Raw genomic sequence first — 23439 nt, 5'->3', positions numbered from 1 at the left:
GCATTTTTTTAACTAGGCAAAAATCCAAGTATTTTGCCTGACACTACTTAGCCTGACACTTGGAGACGATGTGGATTTCGGGTATAAAATCTGCCAGATGATTCCCTTTGAGACCACTTGAGCTATAGAGTGCCTGTACCAAACACTGCCCCCTACTGGTCTAGAGCCTCATTGCTTTAGGAAAAGGGCTTTACTGACCAACAGGACTAACTTCCACTTCCTCTTCCTCTTCCTCTTCCTCTTCCTCTTCCTATGATGAGTAGTAAGAAATATTTTTGCCAGTTAGTGAAAGACTCTTGCTGAGGGAATTTAGATCGTCTTTATCTTAAGTACATTTAGAGTAGAATGATGTGTACCCATCCAGCTTTGCCTTGAGAAATGCCAGCAATGCCCCAAAGGATACAGTTTTAGAAACTGTGTTCTAGGTTAACATAATGAATATTATCCCAGCCTAGTACAGATAGTAACATATTTGTAACAAAAGTCAGTCAATGCTAATGGAAAACAGAATGGAGTCCATGATATTCCCCGGCTTAACTCTATTCGGAGACAAGAACTGCTCAGATAAAGAATAGGATAGAAGCTGGCCTGCCAAGGGTAGCCATTATACATACTTAAATATTCTTTCCTTAGGCAAAATAAAGAATTGCCTAATCTTTCCTCAGAATATACATTATGAAACCCTAGAGTCATTTAGGTCATATGATCATGAACCATTTCTATCTTCTCAACCTCTTTTTCTGAAATGAGGGCACCCTGAGCTGTGTTGCTTATCTCAGATCTGGATTTAGCCACACACTCTAAAGTGTAAGAGCTCTCCCTCCTCACATGTAGCCCAAAATAGTCCTTCACAGCCACGCCACCCTGGACAGTTTATCACTTGACATGACCTCCTGCTCTACCGATTGGAGAGATTTCAGACAGAGCTTAACTGGCTTGAAACAGAAACAGCATGACTTCAGAACGTATAGGATGAATTAAACAGACCAATTTTCTAGTTTTCAGAAACACAAACATGACTATAAGTGGGACCTCAGCCAGAGTACAGTCTTAGAAAATAAGGTTGCAGTCCACCATTTATTAAATGCCACGTTTATGTGGCATTTTATTAAGCCTTTTTAAGGGTTATTTAGGCATGAATATTGCTTTCTCAAAATGTTACAATCAAAGCCATCTTAGCATAAAAATGTATTCTGAAATGATTTGTTGAGCTCCTGCTGTGTAACAGGTGCTATGCCATGTACTGTGGATACAGAGAGACCTTGTCACAGCCTCTGTCTTTGTGACCTTAGAGTTGGGAGATGGAGTAGCAAAGTACACAGACGATGCCAGTACTACAGCATCACTTCCTGCCCTCCGGCTAAAGAAATTTCACTGTCCAGCACAGTGTCTGACATAGAGTTAAGTAGTCAGTAATTATGTACTAGATCCGCTTAGTACACAGGTAATAGGCATCTTACCTTAGGGAGGGGAATGGTCTCTCTTTCCCTCTGTCTCTCTTTCTCTCTCTGTTTTCCCACTGTTAGACAGACTAGATAAAATCAGCAAAATGAAAAGAATGAATGAACGCTAAGATAGTGTAAGTATAGGGTGCTATGGAAAATACATAGGAGAAGAAACTAAACTAGTTTGAGGAGACTAGCTGCAGAAAGTGACATTTACACTGGGACAGGAGTCAAAGAGTATATTGATGCAAAGGAAAGACCATGAATTAGACCTGAGTTCAAATCCTAGCCGTGCCACCCGTGAGCTGGGCAATTCTAACTATTTCAAACCTTATTTTCTGCATCTGTAAAATACTGATGATACCTTTTAAAGGCTGTTTTGGGGACCAAATGAGATATTAGTTACCTGTGTCTGACACAGAGAAGACCTTCAATGATATGTATTAGAAGTGTCACAGACAGCGGACTTGCAACATGAAAGCCATGAATATCTAAGTAGTAAGGTTAAGGGCACAAATATTTTAAAGAATGAATAGCAATAATAAGCTTAAAATCATGATGGAAATAAAAGAGAGGTGCTATAGCAGTTCTTAACCCCTAAGCCCAGACAAGGGTGGAGGGAGGCAGATGATTTAAAGGAGTTTGCCATCCTCTTCCAATCCATTCCAGAAGGCTTTTGTATTTAGCTTTCAGCTGCAGAACCATGTGGCCCTGCCTGTCCCATTCACAGTATGGTAAATACTTTTTCAGATAATCAGATAATCTTAGGGTATTGTGACTTAACTGCTCAGCATGGATGCTTGATACAGATATGTGTGTGTGTGCATGCGTGTGTGTGTATGTGTGTTTGTGTATGGTATTTTCTCCGTAAGTTCTTGCCACAATTAGCTTTCATTGCTTTTATCCTAAATGTTTTTAAGTATACCAGATTCCTTTCTTCTGTTCTTCCTTCCACCCACATGCATCAGGCCCTTTCCTGCTACATTCACATAGTTAGGTTATTTAACACACACATACACACCTGCTCTCTGCTGGCTTCAACTCTTTTTAGGTGAGATTTTAGGACATGCCTTGAGATCCATTGGATTGTCAGATACATTAAATATAATGCAGGGGAGGATAAGGGAAAGATGCTAGCAGCTGACTTTTGGTTTGGGTTTTCAGTCCTAATATGAGACAAGACATGGCAAAAAAAAGTGTCAAACAAGAGAATGAGAGTGGCCAAAGAAACGAGGTGGTGGTGGCTAGACATGAAACAAAGTACAAGACATAAAAACATTTAAGTTTGAAAGAGATAAAATTTGGAAAAGGGAGAACTAGCAGTGTTTAAGATTCCGATGGGGGAGGGAAAGCCATTGATTGGGCCTTTGAAACCATGCCAGGAACCAAGAGCCAGGGGTAGTGGCAGAGGGGACGGCCAGGTAGGACAATTAAAACGGAAGTCTGGCTCCTTACAACACAGCATGGAGCGGGGCTACAGCATTTGCTGCAGTGGGAGGTGGGGCCAGTCTGGCACAGTCTGTGGGTTTGAAAGGAGCTGGGCGGGTTGGAGAATGCCAGTCAGCCTTTGTAGTTCTGAGCTCAGAGAGGGGGTGACACATACTGGGCTTCAGGTCAGAAGCCTGGCTTGGGTGGCTTTTGGAGAAATTTTCCCTCTGCTCCCAAACTCTTAAAAGGTGCTCATCACACCACTGGCCTCCAATCACAGCATAAGCACGTGTTCCAAAGGCCATCCTCCAGCAGAGATTTCGGCAGTGGTACCTGTTGGCTGGCTCATGGGGTCCTTTCCTTTTTCCATTCCCTGGAAGCCGTCAACTGGACTGAATACAACATCTTTGCGTCTTTTTCTTCACCCTCCCCACATGCTTGCATCTCCCAGACTCCTAGGGTTAATCCCCAGGACAACCTTGCTTTGAAAGAAAAAATGTGGTGAGCCTACTTGAAGATTTGGATTCCAAGAGGCCTCTGTCTGTCCTGCCTCAGCCAGAGCCAGACAGCCAGCTCAAGGAGATGGGCAATTTACAGAGAAAGCAGCAGTAAGTTTTTGTTGTTGTTGTTGTTTGTTTTCAAGGCTTGGTTGTTCTCCAGAATTAGGTCCCTGAAAGCATGGGATTTTCTTTTCCTTTTTTTTCTTCTTTCCTTTCTTTTTTATTTTCTTTCTTTCTTGGCAAAAATTAATAATACCCCCTTCTCCCCCGAGAGTGAGTCATAAAAGCAATTAAAAAGTTGCTTCTTCATCGCTGCTCATAACCTGGGTTAAAGTTATCTGAGGTTGATCTGTGTGTGCCTATTCTCAACATTGTAATATTTTCAAATGTACGTGCATTTGTTATAATAATTTGTGCTGATGGTTCTCCTCCAGAATCAATGCTATGTAACTGGCAGATAGATTGTCATTATGCTGAATTTGTCCCAGGACTTGCATAGATATCTTCTTTGGGGGTTTTTGTGCTTATTTGCTGCTTGTGAGAGAGAAGGATAGAAAGACTTTGGAAGGAGGGTGTGGTCCAGCAGATTTCGGCTTCCTCCCAGCCCATCAGTGACTCCTTCTTCCTGCTCCTCCCTTTCCTCTCCACTTCTATCCCAGTTCAGTTCCTCAGATCCAACCAGAGCCAGCTGTCAATGAAATACCTTCTGCCTTTCTTTTCTATTACAGTGTGGGTTAGACTCTGTCAGGTAGGAAACTACTCCCCATAATCAAACTCATTATGTTTGTGATCTCAGCATATTTGCAAACTTAGACATAGACCAGACAATAACATTTACCTTCTCCATTTCTCCCATTCTGGGATTTTTAGCCAAGGTAATAATAACAATAATAATACAGTATTTAGAAGGCCTCTAGCAATATTTCATCTTCTGAGAGTCTTACAGATGTTAACTAATTAATCTTCACAACACTCCATACAAGAGAGGTAAATATTATTACCCACGATAGAAGATACATATGTATATGCTAAGGACAGCAAACTAGTTCACTTATTTATCATGGTTCACTTGATATAGTAACTGGTATTTTTAAAACACCCATCATAGATACAACAATTAGAGATGTGCTTTTGTTAACAAAGCCACTACCCACTTCTAGCGTACCCTTGGGTACTAAATAATTACCCACTTTGTGTGGTTATCTAGCTCACTAATTACCCACAGAAATTGGGGTCAGGTGTTAACTGCTTGAAATAAGTATCCTCCAAAGACATCGCTGAGTTGTATAGAGAAAATGATGTGTTCATAGCAAAACTTTCATAAGCTATATATTTGTATATCTTTGTAAGCAGAGTGAATACAAGCAAGAGCAAATTAGCTTATTATGTGAAAATCATGCTGAACTATTGTTGCAAATATAGAGAGGTTTAAAAGAGTCTCGGGAAATCTCGTCCTCTATTTACCCTTCGTTTTGAAGATGGGTGCAATGACATGATTCCCATAATCTGGCCTTCATATAGAAGTACACTAAGACAATTGATGATTCTGGTTAGGAATGATTCATTTTGGTGTACAGGGAGGCACCCAGTGAGTCAAAGACTTTTTTTTTTAACAGCTCCACCCTTCATGATTATTCTAGCGTGTTTCTTTTTTCTCCATCAGTCTAGTGAAAACACCCCGTTAGCCAAATCTGAAAAAGATTCTAACCTAGTCACCAACTCCTGGCAACCACCTCTTTCTCCTTCCCAATAACGACAAAAAGAAAAAAAAAGTATTACAAAAATCCAACACTCTCATTTTGCCTTTAGCTGTTATGCGCTCCTCGCCTTTCCTCTCTACTTCTCTCCTCTCCCTTCTTCCTCTGTCTGTATCTTCTTCTTATTTGTGCATTTTCTCCTTTTCCTTGGCATCTAGGTATGCTTCTGCAGGTCTCACAGTCAGAGACAAAGCACAATTATGTCTGAGTTGAGCACAAAGAAACTATCTTTTAAAAATATTGACTTGGAGGAAACCTGCATCCTCAGATACCTTTCTCCCTTTCCTTGCTATTTACAGAATCTGACATTATATTTAATACCACGCTGCCGGTTGTCTGCATGATTCTAGGCAGGAAAATTGGGTTAGAACGGTAACATACCCACTGTGTACATAGATAGGTAGAGACCCTAATTTTCGGCAGATCCATGCCTTAAAGGATCACAGCAGAGCAGAGCTTTAAAAATGAGTGCCAACAGAAATGAGAGGAGATGCTCCCCCAATCAACTTAGGATGTCTTCCTTTTTTCTTGTGCCTCTTTTTTTTTGTCATCTGAAATATTACTTGTCATTATTGGGGAACTTGAGGCTGATCGATGAAGTGTATATGTGTCTGTCAGACATTTGAAGAGGAAAAACATGCTTCAGGAATAAGGAAAATGCCTGCAGTGAAAGCAAAGGGTCAGGATGAGCTTCAGTGACTGATGAGTTCATTTCAAAATCCAAGGGCACATAGATGGTAAATTAATACATATGGCAAATACAGTCAACGAGCAAACCCCAGCCACTGGAAGGAAAGGGAATTTTAGCTCTGTAGTCATCACATGCCTGAACAGAGAGTCTACATATCTTAAATGTAGATCCGAATCATTGCTCTTTTATCCCGCTAAATGCTGATTGCAAAGAAATATTTGGGCATTGTTGACTTTCCGTCCATAAAGAAAGGCCACCAAGATTCACAAAATCCATCACCTGCACTCATACATGCATGTGTGCTTGAAATTCCCCTAGGATGTGAAACAGTTAGGCAGAGAACTGCACTGTGGTCTCCCTTCCTCACTTCTTTCCCTCCCTGTTTTTCCTTTTCGAAAATGTGATACCTGATCTCTAGGTCTTGCGGGCTGAGAAATTTTTTGTATTTGTATAATGCAGTGTCTGGCCTTCCCCCTGACCTGCTGATGTATTTTTGGCCTCATTAGTAGTCAGGGAGATGCCTTAGTGCATCCAGCACTGCAAGTCAGGGATGAGACACACTACAACAGGAGAGGGAGCAAGCGCGAGAGGATATTAGAAGAGAGGCTTGTCTCCAAGATATGGAAGGAAGTGAGAAATGACAGGGCTGCAAGCTTTGTATGTAGGAGCCCGGCAGGGCGGGGGAGCGGCGAGGAGAGCCAAGTGGATTCTCAGAAAAGGGGGGAAGCCATCGAAGAGCTAAAGGTGATTAGAGGGGGATATTGATTTCTTATTCTGCCAGAGATTTAAGCAGGCATGCGAGGAATCTGCACCATGGTTGGCAAAAAGAGACCCGTTGCCTCCTGTAACCAGACACTCAGGCTTTCCAGGAGCCCAGGGAGCAAGCCGAGAAGAAAGGGGGCAGTGTGGTCTAGGAAAATTCAACTTGTCGCTGATTTGTGCCTGATGCCTGCTGTCCGTCAGCAGCCTCCCTTACAATCTTTTTTTCTCTCTCTCCTTTTTTTTTCCTTGCCTTCTCCTTCTTCACTGAAGCCTAGGGGAGCCAGTAAAGATTAAATGTGCTTCTCAAAGGCAGCCACTTCATGCTGCTATGTCGAAAGGGCCATTATTATTATTATATTTTAATGGTAAAAGAGAAAAGGAGAGAGGTTGAGCGAGCGAGAGAGAAGCTAGGTGTGATGATGACAGACTAGCTTTTCTGAGAGGAAAAGGAAAAGGGAAGGGAGAGAAAAAGGAGAGCCTCTGAGCTCAACGGAGGATTGTGCCTGAGAAGAACCCACAGAGGTGAGAAAAAAGTTGTCTTGAAGGTGGGGGTGGGGGGGCTGCTAAACAGACACTGTACAGAGGGAGAAGAGACATAATTTAGCTGTGTTGCTAGTATGATTCCATTTTTAAAGGAGGGGAGGGGGAGAGTCTAGAGCTCTAACTGTTTTTAGTTGCATATGGAAATATCTAAAAAAATATTTAGCATTTTTACTAAGTGCGTTGAGGCCTCTCCAGTGTCCTCCTGGCTGTGGCTGCTTTGTCATTCTCTTTGACTAGCCAGCCATCTACCTTGCTCAGGCCTGGAATAAAAGAAGAACAAGAAGAAGAAAGAAATGAAATGAAAAACAGAAAGAAAAAGGAGAAGAAACATTTGTAAAAGGGTCATCTTCCCATCTGCCTCCCCTCCTTTTCCTTTCATTTTTGGTGGCGGCACAGGAAAGCCCCACTTCCAGTCTGATGAGGAAAGCGACAATCTATCAGGTACAGAACCAGGGGCTGTCTGCGAAGATGGAGGGGAATTATGCTTCGGATTCCTCTGAAATATTGGCCAAAGGCTTCAAAGAATCCGCAGCGGGAGGTGCGGGGGGAATGTCTCTCCCCAGCCCGCACCCAGCCCTTCCCACTTCGTGTCTACCAAATGACAGCCTGGTGCTCGCTCTTGGTGATTTGGCCTTGACTTCAGCCAAGCAGCTGATGCAGACGAAGCCTCCGTTTGCAGGACTGGCAAAGTGCACGCTAAAGAAAGAAGGAAGAAATTTTTCAAAAAGCAGCTCTGGGGAGGTTTCATACTCCCCCCCCCCCCCCGCCTTTTTTTAATTTTTAAGTGAATATTTTCCAAATTTGATCAGTTCCAGCCCCTCCCTCCACTCCCACCCAACTGCCCTTTTTTCTCTCGTCAAAGCATAAGCTACAGAGTTACAGTCTCGAGATTTGGTGTATCGCTTCCTGCCCCCGCCTCCCCTCCCCGCCCCCGTTCTCCGTCCTCTATTGAAACACCTCGCCCAGCCTAGCGCACTGAGAGCTCTCATTTTCCCCCCTTGCTCGGGATGGTGCCACAGGAGGCTGTGCGGGCCCCGCTCCGCTTCGAATGGGTGAGTTCAGAACGCTATTCGTCTTTACACTTCTATAGCCTCCGAATCCTACTTCTTGGTCTTCTCCTTTGAAAACCCGATTTCTATGATTTTTGCATGCGGCATACTTGCCCTGGGGGAAAGAGATGCCTCCTATTTTCTCTTCAGTCATTTGTGCTAGTCGTAAATTAAAGCTTTGAAAAGACACTAAATCCTTATTGTAGACTATGGTTTTAAAAACTTGGGCATTTCTGAGTCTGTGCATATTATTTTCCGTTTTAGTGAACTATTTTGCCCAAATCTTGAAAGAGTTTTCTCTGATGTACTCGTGATCGTATGTGTATGTGCGTGATTGTATATGCGCCCCCAGATACTGCGTATGTGTGTATATATGTATTAGGCTTAAACGGAATCTCAATTTTGTGAAGGAAAGGAGCTTAGAGAAGAAATACCATACCACCTGTTTGTTGCATCTTAGTTATGAACCTCGAACAGAAATTGCCTGTCATTCTTGTTTTGCTTTGCTTTGTCTCAAGAAAGAAAACATTGTTGCGCTCCTCTCAGTCCCTGAGACCCTAACTTGTGATGTTTACCGTTTAAATCCACGGGTTAGGCTCTTGGGAGCTGCGAGTCGTGCTTTTGCATCCTGGAAATTTGGTGGAATTTTATTCTTTAAAGCAAAAACAAAAGAAAAGAAAGTTTGTCTGAGGTGATTGAGTATACCTCTGAGGTTTTCATTGTTAGATGGGATCAGGTGACCAGAGAGTGGCAGCTCCTGGATTTCTGTTAAAGTAGGTATATATTTTGCTTTAATAGCGTGTTGGCTGCTATGTGTATGTATGCATGTTATTGATGCCTGAGGCTTGTGGAACTCATCTGCCTGGTCTATTCCTTGAGAGCAACACGCAGTAGTATACGAGCGTAACAAGAACAGCTCAGTACCTGGTGCTTGACCTCAGAACATCTCAGCTGAAGTCCCAGCATGCCCCATGTCTCCAACTTTCAAACTCCACAGTTAATCTTAAAATTGTGCCCAATTAAAATGGGCATGTGAATATATTATATATTCAGTGTCCACACATGTGTATCATGGATGGCTAGACAGTGAACATACAGACGCAGATAAAGGCAAACTAATAGTTTGGAGTAAAATATTAATAGGTTAAAATTCTATTCTTGCAATTCCACACAAAGGATGGAAGTTATGGTATTAATAAAAATTAAGTTTGTATGACTTTGCAAGATTTTTTAAAAATAAAAGGAGGGATACCACCTCCTTGCTTGGTATCTTTTACAAAATGTTATACTTTATGGATATAAAGGTGATAAAGATTGGAAATAAATCTTCTAAATATGTAAAATGAAAGCAACAGCAACAGCAAACACAATTATCGTATTCTTTGGGAGTAACAAATACTGGTTTTCATTTTAAAACTAAGGAAAATTTTATCAGTACTTAAATTCAATCCAAAAAAGGTTTTATAACACCCAAACTGTACATTTAAAATTATCCTTTCTTAAGGTAATGGCTAGCATTACCTAGTTTGTAGTTTTCTTGAGCTGTAACTTTTTATAACTGAATCATTTCAGTGATTTAGGGCTGTCTCGTAGTTGGGGAAGAGAAACAGTAACTTACCTTTCCTTTGTTGTGAAAAATTCTAGTATAAAATATCATTTAAACAATTTTCGTATTATTGGGCCAACATTTCTCTTCTATGTTTGAAAAACACCTAAATCAACCCCAATCCAAATGCTTTCTTCTTCTAAAGACTTTATATTGGTTGTAGCCTTGTTTTATACATGTAATTGAAGGTTAGGGAAACTGTTCTTTGCCTGTTATTGTTTTTTATTTTAAGTGTTTATTGCAATTTTAGTCATTAATGCCAAATTGCAATCAAGAAACCATTTTGTATCAGAAAATTGAACTGAGAATATGAACTATGCAACGATTGCACCACGTCTTTTGTTGAAACCTCTTGTGTAGTAATATTAGAATATTACTTTCCAGTCTTTGATAGTCCGAATGTGCTTCAAAAAAAATAGTTATTTGATTGTCGAGTCATCGTTAGTTTATATTCAATGGTTTAATGACTTCCCCTACCTTAGCTGATGTGTATGCATAGGTATTTGGAAATTATAGCAAGGCATCTATTTAACTTACGAATCTATATTACCACATTATTCATATCCAACATTTGTAAAACAGTTGGTGCTTTTTGAAGTTAAAATATATCTGCAGTTTACTCTATGAAAATGTATACATGGATCAATAAAAACATGCCAGGTAAAATTCTTCCGTGATTTTCAGTGATAACAGGGTAGTAATTTAATACAAGTGTTTTAATTTGTATTTCAAGGCACTCTCAGGTTTTTACATGTTTTCAAGTGGATTGCTCATGTTCCGAGGTTGCTATCATACAACTGATCACCCAGGCATTTAAAAGTGCATAACGACACAAGATTTTATATTTCAGCAGGCAACTGCTTCAGTCAAGGGCAGGTTTCTCAACACCCCTTCTTCCTCACCGAGCCCATCAGTGAAGTTCAGTGAAATGAATAACATAATTGGTGGTTGGTTCAATCACTACCAGTCTAGACTAGCCCAGACGCATCAATTAGAGGGGGCTGTCTTTTAAAGGGAGAGTGCAACCGAAACAAGCAGGGCATTATTGATACTGATCTTTAAAAGTGCAAATCCAGCTTGGCAGATTAAAAAAAAAAAAATAAGGCGGGGAACTGGGGCGGGGGTGCGTTGCGGGAAGAAAAGAGAAAGAAGTGAACTGGAGCTTTCGGACACAGAAGGACAGGAAGCTTGAGAGAAAAGGAGAGGATAATGAGTGAAATGCAATGCAGCACCTCCTTGGAACACACAGTTACAATTCAGTTCACAGGGCACACTGGCTCACCGTATTTTTAACTAGTTTCTCTCCCCACCTCCTTTTTAAAAATTCCTTTTTTGCCTCTGTTTCCAAAGAAATGCCAGCTCAAAACCAAGGCAGTTGGAATTTAACAGCTCTAGGAAGCTCTAGTGAGAATAAAAGCCAAATAATATGAACCAGCCAAAATTCCTTTTGCAACATTTTTCCCCAAAAGAAAAATACAGAAGATATTTCTTTTCAAGTCTCTAATTCTACCTTTAAAAAATATGTGTACTAATGAACAGTATTCATTTTAAATCTAGAACCTGGGAATATATTACTATAGGCAAGACACCTTTAGGTAAAGAGCTCATAATTTTCCATTGAATACAGTAAAATTATAAAGAATGTAACAAAGGCTTTGGTAATTTGGTAGAGGGGCTTTTTGATGAAAAAAAGACAGATGATTTAGAAAGCGAGGAACACATCAAGCCTCAGGGAAAGAAAATGTTTGATTGGTATTAATTAAAACACTGCTAATATATTCTAATAAAATCAAATTTAACATTCTAAAGTAATCCTCTTGGTATGTCAAAGGAAAAGAAAAGTATTATCTTATTTGCATCTCTGCAATCCAAATGCATTTGCTCATTCAGCAGAATTAATTTTTATCACCAGCCTGTTTTATCTCCTCACAGATTTAGTCAAAGTTATTCTTTCAAACTAGAAAGGATCAGGGTGGGGAATCCATGGAAGGTATTGGAAGACTAGTGACTGTATTTAGTACCGGCTTTATATTTTACGATGTTCTTTCTCTTCATTCGCTGTAATGGGGTGTGGAGGGAAACGGTGAGACCGCAGTGAGAATGATGAACGGTTCATTTTTCCTCTTTCTCTCCTTGTACCTGCCAGATTATTTAAGAATTTCAGCTGCCAAATTATACGAATGCCATTTATTTACGTGACTGGTGTTGGTCTGTTGATTAATGTCTAATGTTTTTCTAATTTCAGACTTTAATTTACCGAAAATTCCTAATGAAAAAGGCTCTTAAGCCAGAAACCAATTGCCTCTTATCGGTTATCCCCAACTGTAGATCTTCTATGAGAAAGTGGGGAAGTGAATGTAAAATTTTATTCACTACAAACTGAGTTCTTTGTTCCTTTATTAAGTCAAAATTTCTCCAGGAAAATTTCATATTTTTATGAAACAGCAAGTTTTATGTTCTTTATTGTTAAACTCTCACAACTGATAAAATTATCCCGAAATGACATAACCAAAATGCTTCTCCTCTCATTAGTCTACCATGACTATGATATCTTATGTAAATATGTGACTAACAAAAAAAAAATGAATGGGCCATAAATACTGAGGACCATATTTGCGTGTTTCCAAAGTGAGGGGTTCTGCGTCCTATCAAGGAGATGTAAACTACTGACTACACTACCGATGATGCTGGCTTTTTGCTCCATTGCCTTTTCAAGTCTTCAACGTAAAAGAGCAATCGCAGTTCGGTTTCACATGTATTGTTCTATAATCCAGGCAATAAATGCTAATTAGTAATGCTCAAGGATCCGACCATTCAGAGTAATTATCATAATTTACTTCTTCCTTGTTAAAGACATTCCTTGCTGATTAGAAAAAAAAAAAAAAAATTAAATCGTCGTTTTACCATTGCACTGCAGTGGAAATGCACTAGAGAGATGTTCAAGGTATAGTAACACTGTTGCGGTTGCATTCCAAGTCACCGACCTGTGCCTCTTAGCTTATTACGAATGGAATTGCCACTTAATTTCTAAGAAGAAATTCATTTAAATGCATAAAGTTTGGCATGTAGACCAGGAATATATGATTTTATTTTACAAACCCCAGGGCTCCACCTTCCCGGCCCACCCTCTTTCTAAAACCACTTACTGAGCAGAACAAAGGAAACAGCTAACTATAGAGGCATCATTAAGTGTGAACTGCAACAGCATGATAAAGTATGTGATATGACAACATATTTTATTGCACAAAAGTGCAGATAATTAAATAATTCTATAGTAACCCTGACTAATTAGCCGAAAGATCTTGAAGGAGGAATCAAGAAAATGGATCCAATCACCTTGAATAATATGCTTCGTTCTCCAAGATCACAAATTTATTTTGGTTATTTGATGATTGATTAACTCATATAGAAAGATGAGGACAAAAGCCTGTTTCTCAAAGCAGAGCTTTGATCTGGTGTCCTCTTTAGGACAAATTAATCCTATGTTTTAGAAGTGCTGAATTTAATGTAGGGCTTTCTGTTTTCAGTCAAAGATATAACCTGCCATTCTGTTGAACATTTCTCTATTATCGAGTGATCTAAGAAATTATCAACCCTTAGCTTCTTATATCGCTGCCTCAAAATATAGATGTAGCCTCGTTCACATTTTCTAATGAGTCTCCTGTTTAAGTTTGTTTCTTATTGCTTGAAGCAAATAAATATCATGGGCACAGAAGGAAGAGAATAAATAACCGTGCTGAATATTATGTATGGTGAAACCCTCCCCCCTTCCTTTATCAAGGTAATATTCCTAGTGTTCATTGTTCATTGGTCCTTTAAGAGAGAGCTTTAGCTTTTACTTGAGGGTTGTAAGCACATTAGAGGAATAATTCCCTTTGGATACTATACAGAAGGAGCCACCTGCAAAATGTTGATGCTGTTATTGAAGTCTCAAGTGGAATCAGCTTTCAAAAAATTAGATATTAGATACATCCGATATAATTTGCAATGTGTAATTATACTAATGTGCATATAGTTGTCTGTTGCTTTACATGTTGCCTACTTGAGTTTTTTTCTTTTCTTGTGCATTTCTCATCATTGAAATGGTTCCTGAGTAGAATCTTTTTAAAATAAGCTTATTTTAAAAAAATTCTTTGTTAATTAATATAGGGATACGAGGACTCTACGATCTGTGTTCTTATGCAAGAATAAATATGTGCGACCTAGATGTTGGAAATTAATTATCTCTGAAAGGGTTATCATTGTGGACACTTGCTTAATTTGTAAAATATTTGCTACTCTTGATTGATTTAGTCTTTTTCTGACTTTAGACAACTTGAAGTAATTGAGAATATTAGTTCCTTTGTTGGAATAACAAAATAGAATGCCAGGGAAATGACCTTAGGCAGAGATAATAATTTTAATTTAACCAAAGTAATCAAAACAATAACAATAATCAGCAATTTCTTTTATTGTTTTTCACTGTTTTGCATGGCACATGTTGAATACTGAAACTCTGCCTTAGGTTATTTGTGCACTAACATCAACTTCCCTTTTAACGTCTTGACATGATGTCCAAGGTCTACTGATGGCCCCACTGGAGAGCCTCCTTCCAGGGAACTGATCCCTGAAGATCTACCTATTAAGGAATAGCCCAGTCAGAGCAACAGCGAGTTGGCTGGTCAGCCTGGTAGTTGGCTCAGTAGGTGAAGAGGCTCTTGATGCAAATTTGGAGAATCATTACCATCAGGTCACAGAAGGACCCCGGGCAAGGCAATACAAGGGTCTCGATTTATGCTTATGTGTTTGGGAGACAAAAAGGATTCCAAGGGAGGCTTATATTGAGATACAAGATATGACTCATTGCAATTGAGTAGGCATAGAGCCCAAAGAAAGCTGATTTGTAGAACAGTTGACTCATAGTAGACACCTAGAATATGGTCATTCACATATTTATACTATCTGTTTCTCAAAATTTGTTTTAATGATGGAGTCCCTATTAGAAAGAGACATTTTGCGTGATGTATAGCTACCTAATACCAAAGCAATACAAGGTTTACTTTTCACCTGCTCATGTATTCAAGGATTTGCCATCATTAGATATCCAAATGAGCCATAAAAAATTGTGCAAAATGTTATTCCTTAATACATAATATTTTAATTTATTAAAAAATGAGTTTTACAAATGAGTATCAAAAGCTTAGCACCCCATCATCCCTGTCAATGTTCACAAAATAATAAATTCTAAAATCTTTAAGATGTATATTTAATTACTCATCCAAGATCAGTTATTGCATGCTTAATCAGAAAAATACCTATTAACGTTTAACACTTAGTTACTTTACAGATTAAAAAACATATTATACCTGCCATCTAGGGAGCCAGCATCCTCGGTGTATCAAAAGTGTTTAGGGCAGAAAGCAGTGATGTGTCATAGTGTACCCCTTTTGGTGTGCCTGACTTATTAGACATCTTCATTGTGTAAGCATGATGAAGAGGCTGATGATAAGGTCTTCAGTTAAAGAAACATCTACCTGAGAAGTATATTTTATTCATAACAACTTTTATAAAAAAAGAGAAACATTAATAACAACTCTTCTCAAATACCCTTATCTTTAAAATGCATGGGTTGGATTAGTTGGGCTCTAAATTCTTTTACAGCTTTAAGAATTTTTGAAGGTATTCTAAAGTATGGAGGCATAGGAACAACTCCAGAACCGGTGGATCTGGAGCTCATTTGTTCCAACAGTCGTCCTTCAAAGTTATATTTGATTCCACCTCCACGTTCTGTATTTACTAACATATTTTGCGTTGATGCTAAAACAGTAAGGACTGGAGTTCACTTTCAGGAAGGGGCAGTAGCAGAAAAGAAGAACAGCTGAAGAATGAAAAAAGCTACACAGTGGGAGAAGCAAATTCTTGATCTGAGTTCTAAGCCCATTTCTCTCAATTAACATTAACATAGAAGAAACCCCGACAAGCACCTGCCTTTCTATTTTAAGACTATATTCTTTAGGCCTGCCTTCATTTAATTTCTTGCAGTATGGTTCGTTTTTTTCCATTGGATTAACTCCTTTGAGTTTCACGTTTTTCCTTCCACTTGATTCATTTGAGTCATCTTAATATTCCTCTCAGAAGCCTACAATAGTTACAGTAACACATCATACTTCCCAAATTAAATCTTAACGTGTTCAAAGCCACCTGGAAATTGCCCTACCCCATTTTCTAAAACCACTCAGAATGTGTAATCTCTTCTTGAATTAAGTGAGCCTGCTTTCTCTGGCTTCTAAGTCATTGAATATGCTCCAGGATATGCTTTTCCTTTCTGCATAATCTGTCCCCCCACCTCTTCTACACTTTGAAAACCTTCTTCTTTATTTCTCTCCTTCCCTCCATCCTTCTCGGTTTTTCTCCTTTCCCCCTTCCTCTCTCTTTTTCTTTCTTTTCTTTCTTTCTCTCTTTCTTTCCTTCCTTTCTTTTTCGTTCTTCTTTTTCCTTCTTCCTTCCTTCATTCCTTCCTTCCATCTTTCCGTCTTTCCCTCTTTCTTTTTTTTTTCTTTTTTTCTTTCCATACCATGTTCTGTGCCATGCGCTGGGAATACAAAGACAAATACAAGGAATTGACAACACCTAACAATTCTAGTGACTTCATTCAGCCCTGCATTCCTAAGCAGTTATGTACCCACAGCTATCTTACTTTGTTTTCACTCCTTGGATTTATTTGAATCTGTCCTCAATGTCATGTGTTCTTTTGTTCTTTCCCTATGTGTCCCATTTTAGTAAGTTCCCTGTTGGATAAACCTGAAGCTTTTCTTACACAGCATTTTCTCCCAGAGCCATTAGAGTGGTGTCTCACACACACTCAGGCAATGCCATTGCTGACTGATTCTTTAGCAAGGGGAACAATGTAAAACAACAGCATTTTTCTAGTGATGCAGCATTTCATCTCTAGTGAGACTTAGCATGGTCCCCAAAGTATCATTACATTTATTTATTATTATTAAAGAGTCAATGTGATAACTTTCTGTGACATGTTCTGTTATTTTTTTAGTTGTGTTGATGTTCCTTTCAGCTGGTCCTATAGTACCCCTCCTCAGGAATGTCTCCCCAGTGCAAGGACAAAGACTGAAGAGACTGCTATATTGATGGACTCTCAAGCCAACTATGAAGTTGAAACAAAGAAAGTGATCACCTGAAGACACCTCCTCTGCTAAGAAACACCCCCAAATTGTGCAGCTTCTGCCACTAGAACTCTCAGAACAAGAGACAATCTTTTCAAGAAACAGAAAAACTCAATAATGACATCTAGATTTTCATGAGCCAAGAACTTTCCCTTCCTCATGTGTATTCCTCTGTTTGTACTTAAATTCATGTGACATTCATTTTTTTCCTAGTATGGATATGCTTATTAATGCACTTGTTTCAAAATCCCAAATTGCACAAATGTGTTAATATTTTAAGAAACAAAATGAATCCTACAAGGAGAATGATTTTTAGCCACACATAGGGTTGGATCTTGAGAGTGACCTACAGAATAAAAGTACTTTTAAAATAAAGTAGTCAGAGGCTATTCAAAGGGTAAAATAATCATAGTACCACATTGGTCCACTTGACACTAACCAATCGATCATTTTTTTTTAATCAAGAAAGCTAGATTCTATCAGATAAAATCACTGCTTCTAAAGAGTTTAAATCTAGTTAGAAAAAGTTATAGAAATGTTTGCAAAGATAAGTAACAGATAGAGTCAGTAGAGGATAAGATCAAAAACAAAACCAAGCAAAAGATGAGTTCAGGGGAGTTTGCCATCAAGTTGGCAAAACTGACTTACTTAGGGAAGAAAGTTATAAAACAGGAAAATATGAGATGAACCTTGAGTGATGTGGAAGATTTAGATAAATGGAAAGGAAGGAGAAAATGGAGTTCTTTAGGTGGTTGTAATTGGAGGAGGAAATGAATACACACATCTTGTTGACTTAAACCCAGACATTCAGCAGCTCTCTATACATATCTGGAAAAGACTGCACAGTCACCTCCTGTCTCTCACCCCAGGTATTACTTAGAATTATTATCATATTTCCCTTCCTTTAAAGTAAGTAAGGGTGATTGGTGACAATATGGAGAACTATGATTTTTCCATTAACCTAATAATAATTGGTATTTATTGAGTTCTGTTAAGCATTTTACATATTAACTCACTTAAGCCTTTCAACAGCCTTGCAAAATAGGTATTATTATCCCCATTTTACAGGCAAGAAAACTGAGGTTTAAGTAACTTGCCGAAGTGCCATATACAGGGCTCACATTCAGTATTGCAGTTGCAAAGCTCATGATCTATAGTGCCAAGTTGCAATATTGTAGTCAATGTCACAATTATTACCCCTTTTTATATTCCTTGATATTTTTCCATGGCAAACAATTAGCTATTTCATTTAATAATCACCTAAAACTTTTCAGTCTTCTGATTAAAATTACGCTGGAGTGATAGAATGTATTTTCATGATAGAAATTGGGAAAAAAAATGGGGAATGAAGTTTATCAGCATTTCAGACTTGTTTTTTTTTTTTTTTTTTGCAAGACTTTGATGAGATTGTTCACTTTTGTCTATGTAAAATCCCAAATCCTTGAGAATAAAAAAGGGGGAGGTTTAAGTCACTTGTTGCAATGCCCTTTTTAATAGAGGCAATAAATCTAAAGGCCATAAATTTAGAGTGACTTACAGAAGATCGAACTTTGGAGTGTGGCAGAGTAAGGGATGGAAACCGGGCCCTCCAGTTCACTATCAGTAGCTTTTGCACTGGTCTGCCCTTCCTAAATTAAGTATGCACTTCAATTTGATGAGTGGAAACAGTCTATCTGGGCAGTAACCAGGGAGCTTTGTGCCTAGTAGATTGCTTCTGTTCTGCACTTCTTTGGTTTCCCACCTCAATGTAAAAAATAGCTAGCAATGAAGTCCAGAAGTTGTCAATGGTTCATCCCCAGAAGAATGCATAATGTCCAAAGTTGTATGTGTATGATGTCTTCAATGGTATTAAGTTATTTCAAATTCTTAGTTCACCTACATAAATCATTTCTAACAAGCATCTTCTTAACCAACTTTATGCACAGTGTATGTTTGTAAGTGCTTCTGCACGAATGTTTATACATGACTGTTTCCATAGTACTTATGTTTTTAAAAATATTCAGTCATTTCCTACTATAATCCTCATGTATCCATGTAACTGACTCAAAAATACTTCAGCCACAGAAAGCTAAAACTGAGCAAATCTCATTCTTCTTTTCCATCCCCTTTGCATGTGGCTGGCATTTAGTAATGATTAATAATATGGCCAGCTGAATAACAGAGGTTTGAGACACAATTCTTTCTCAAAGGAGTCAGCTAAGCTGGGTCTACTTATGGACAAACATCTAAATGTGTGGAAGTATCTGATATTTGACAATGGTAAATTTCCACTTAGCTAGCTAGCATTGTCAGACTTCAATCTCCTCATGGCTCTGGCCGTCCTGTTTTAAGCATGATAATTGTTGGCCACATCTCACATAGTTCTCATTGAGTGAGTTCATAAATAAACAGGGTTTTTTTTTTTTTTTAAAGAGCAGCCAAGCACAAAGTGTGACTTTGTTGACATTTTATGTGACTTTGTCATATGTTCCTAACCCCCAATAAAAGCAATGTTGCATCAACTGTGAATTTGTGTTGATTTCTTGAAAAAGCATGCTCTTATAATTTATTTGTTTTCACTAGTGTATATCAAAGTTAGTTTCAAGATCCACGAGGAACAAGTCAGCTAATGTGATAGGAAAATTTAAATGTGGAGACAACTTCTAAAGGATCCCATGTTACCTTTAAATAAAAGGTACTGTCATCTACCAAGTCAGAAACCAAGGTCTGGTCCTTGTCTCTTCCATCTCCGCCAGCCATGGTCAATCACTCAGGTAATCTTTTGATTTTTTTTCTCTTTCCATTGTTCAAATATGTCTACTTCTCTCCATCTATGCTACTGCATTAAAGAACAACACTCATTTCTCACCTGGACTACAGCACCATGCCTCCAGTTTTCCTCTCCACACTGCCAAGGGGCAGCCGGGGAAATCTCTCTAAACCACGAATATGATTGTATTATTCCATGGCTTCAAACTCTTCACTGGCTTCCCATTGCCCTTGAGATATCGTGACACCTAAAGCCCTTCATGCCCTGATCCTGGCTCCAACAGTCCTCTCTGGACTCATCAACTCTTCAGCCCCTCTGTGATTCTAGGCTCGTGCCATCCACCTGCCTTTTCTTAATGTTCCCTCTATCTTCTGGGCTTTCTCACACACTTCAGCTTCTACCTAGTACTTTCTCCACTACACCTTCCAAACTCCATCCCTCATCCTTCACATCCCATCCTAGAAGTCATTTTCTCTGGAAAGTTTTCACCCCAACCTCTACCAGCGCTAAGACTAGCTTCCCCACCTAGGCGCTTTCATGTCATTCTGAGCTTACCTCGTATTAGCATTTATCTTCCAGTGTTGTGCTCATATTTGAATATGAGATTCTAGAGCTGCACCATTCAACAAGGTAGCCACTCATCATATGTGGCTATTTCAATTTCAATTAATTAATATTAAGTAAAAGTAAAAATTTAGTTCCTCAGTTGCATTGCTCACATCGCAAGTTCTCAATAGCCACATGCAACTGGTGGCCACTCTGTTGAACAGCACAGATATAGAACACATCTATCACTGAGAAACTTCCATTGGATAGTGCCACTCCAGAAGATAAATGCTATGTTTTGCTTGTTATTTTATCCTCCAGACTTGCAGCCCTTTCTTAACTGGGGTTTGCTATGTGAACCACAGAGAACAAAGATATGATTTGAATGCTATTTCCTCAATTCTCCCAAGAATGATATATTAAAAATACAATTTTACATGCAAAGGAAGGAAAATAATTCATCACGGGTAAAGACGCTCAGAGCATTAGGGTTCAATTCTAGCATAAAACCCTGGTCAGGAAAGTCTACGATAGCCTACCACAATGCTTGGCATCAAAAGTACTTCGTAAGTGTCCGCTGAATGAATATCACACCTGGACACATAAAGACAATTAGTTTTCTTAATTTTTACCTAGATGTGTAAAGTCATGTAGGAGACATGTCTTTAGCTTCCAAAGGGCCCCTTCTCTAGAGAATGTGATAGACAATTTTTTAAAATTTCATCCTAAGGATAGGTGAATTGTATTGCAGCAAAATATTACCTATTATTTCACTTTCTTTTGACGTTATACAGACCAAAAAAAGAAGAGAATTGAGCTCTTATTAAGTGAATGAGATGAACATAAAAATGATTAAAGTAGATACAGCCATCTACTTTGATATGCCCTATATCTTTTAGTAATTGGCCAAAGTTTCCTAAAAATATTAACTATTTACTGAGCACCTACTACGTGCTGGGCACTTTGTTCAGGTTTGAGGATACAGGAAGGAACAAGATGGACACAATTCTCACACTCATAATAGATAACATTAATATGATTATTTCAGTTCCTTACTGCACTGTATCCAAAGCATGAGTTTTAAACCCTGGCTGTATATCGTAACCACCTGGGGAGTTTTGAAAATACTGATACCTGGGACAGATTCTGACTTAGTTGGTGTGAGTGTGGCCTAGGAATTTGAATTTTCTAAAGCTCCGCTGGAGATTGGAATGTGCAGGCAAAGTTGAGAACTGTTGACTTACGGGAACATAATCTTAGACTCAGCTCAGAAAATCGAGAGTTTTTGGTATCAATAATTGATAGCATATTAGAAGGAAAACCATCTGTTTAACACAGTTTTGTTTATTCCTCAGAATATAAACTGATACTTAACAGTTACTGAGTTGTCCAGGTCAAACAGCCAGGTCATGATTGAGATAAGACCTGACCCCCAGGTTTCTGATTTTAACACAACACTCTTCCTGCTACACTAACTATCTCAGGGAAATGGAAAATATAATTATTTTCAAATCAAGAGACAACCAATATCCACTGTAGTCATAATTTTTAACAGCAAAATTGAATTTGGACCAATTTGAATCCCATATACTCAAATAATTCTGCTAATCTGCTAATCAAACGTGAAAATGCAGCTCCTTTAAAAATATCCATATATATATGTATATATATATGTATACATATACATATACATATATATACACATATATATGCCCATAACGAGGGTACAGAGGATGCTCATTTCTCCAGGAATCCTGAGCACATTTTTACAAATTCAAAAATCAATATACATATATTAAACTCCACTAGAAGGATATTTTGCCTTTAAACTTGAATAACTCAATAGCAGAAATGGTAGTGGGAAGGCAAAATTAAAAATTGCATTGTGCTCCCACATTATCTGTCCCCACCCAACTTATTATATTCCATTCCATTCCATTTCACATTTCACAGTACAGGTAAAATTGACACTCTGTCCCCATGAGAAAAGTTCATATTAAAAAATAACCACTATAAAAAATAGTTACTTCTCACAGTTACCACCATGCATCGCTTTTAGATTCTACTCATAGATCAAGAGAATCCTGGAACTCTGTCGTCAAATCTGCTCTTCTTCATCCATGTAAAAACCACATAGTGAAAATGTGCCGTTCCATATTTTAAAGGCATCAAAATAAAACTAATGTCCACATGCTTCCTTCAAAATGGATTTCAGTGTTTGAGATTCCACACAGTTGGGAAATTCTTATTTCTATTCCAAATCCCTCACGCTGTAGTTTAATCCCATTTTCTCTTGTTCCCTGTGGAGAGAAAGAACAGCCGGCCTCCATTCTTTTAAACTCAATCCCTTCATGTCCTTAAAGACAACTACCTCCCAGCCTTCTCTTCTCTGGAATAAATAAGAACAGTTCCTATCAGGAAAACGTCTCTCTTGGATTGTGCATATTCCCTGCCATATCACAGATATTCATGCTCATCACATAATGCTCATAGCTAAAACAAGCCAAGGCCAAGAGCAAAAACAAGCAAATGTATCATTGTTTTCATGAATGAAGTTACAGAACCAATAATAGACACTGAATAAATAGTTGAAAATGATGATCTTCCAATAATTGTGTGCCAAAATTATCATAATTTCTTTTACAAGTATTGGCAATGTGTTGCTTTTAGAGAGGTGAATTAAAAATTAAATGATTAGGTTTCAATTTCTTTTATGCAAGTTCTCCCCATGCCCTGCAATGGAATATTCCATTCAGCATTCCACAGCAGGAACCACCATTGCTTTGACAAAAATAGATACAGTATTGGAACATTCAGTCAATGGAGTAATCCAATTGTCTGAACATTCTTTTCTGCTTTGTCATTTACATTTTAATAAATCCCAGAATATGTCAAGCTGTATCCAGTCGTACCAAGTGTAGCTAACCACATGCAGTTACCAGATGCAATGAGGGAATCATAACATGCAACTCCTACAATGAATCAACATTTGGTTTGTGTATATTTTTAGGCTCCTACATTTTAAATAGGGATACTTTTAAAAATGAAAAATAGATATTTTGAAAAATCTGTTAGTATATTGTATATTCAGCTTTTACAAAGGAAGTTGTGGGCAAAGGGTGCACTATTTAATTGATCTAGGAATTCTGGCATCTGCTAACCTCAAGGAAAACACTATATATAGATAACAACAATGTGGAATG

The 23439-nt window shown here is 38.4% G+C and overlaps 1 long non-coding RNA gene and 1 other non-coding gene across 24 annotated transcripts in view, besides 1 other annotated feature; both read left to right on the top strand.

The window, feature by feature from the left end:
• The window catches only part of MIR100HG (mir-100-let-7a-2-mir-125b-1 cluster host gene), a 394543-nt gene that overhangs the window by 314320 nt on the left and 56784 nt on the right, over positions 1 to 23439 (top strand). For 7 of the 23 annotated variants that reach the window (NR_137179.1, NR_137180.1, NR_024430.2 and 4 more), the window contains one exon: positions 16812 to 19449. This is a non-coding gene — a long non-coding RNA (mir-100-let-7a-2-mir-125b-1 cluster host gene). Of the gene's footprint in view, positions 1 to 2935; positions 3482 to 6322; positions 7106 to 7705; positions 8179 to 16811; positions 19450 to 23439 lie in introns of those variants that run through there. The other 16 variants (NR_137192.1, NR_137193.1, NR_137181.1 and 13 more) reach the window with 10 other exon arrangements.
• Positions 2475 to 2975: an enhancer, noted in NCBI's record as "H3K4me1 hESC enhancer chr11:121976285-121976785 (GRCh37/hg19 assembly coordinates)". NCBI's record gives its function as "activates a minimal SCP1, AML or CMV promoter by ChIP-STARR-seq in primed H9 embryonic stem cells {active_cell/tissue: H9 hESC(primed)}" and the evidence as "EXISTENCE:reporter gene assay evidence [ECO:0000049][PMID:30033119]".
• MIR125B1 (microRNA 125b-1) lies at positions 8708 to 8795 on the top strand. The gene has a single exon (NR_029671.1). It is a non-coding gene; the product is annotated as a microRNA 125b-1 (primary transcript).

This window comes from Homo sapiens, chromosome 11 (assembly GCF_000001405.40).
Source record: "Homo sapiens chromosome 11, GRCh38.p14 Primary Assembly".
In the NCBI taxonomy this organism is placed as follows: domain Eukaryota; kingdom Metazoa; phylum Chordata; class Mammalia; order Primates; family Hominidae; genus Homo; species Homo sapiens.
Note: the sequence above shows the minus strand (reverse complement) of the source record. Positions and strands in the feature narration are given on the sequence as shown.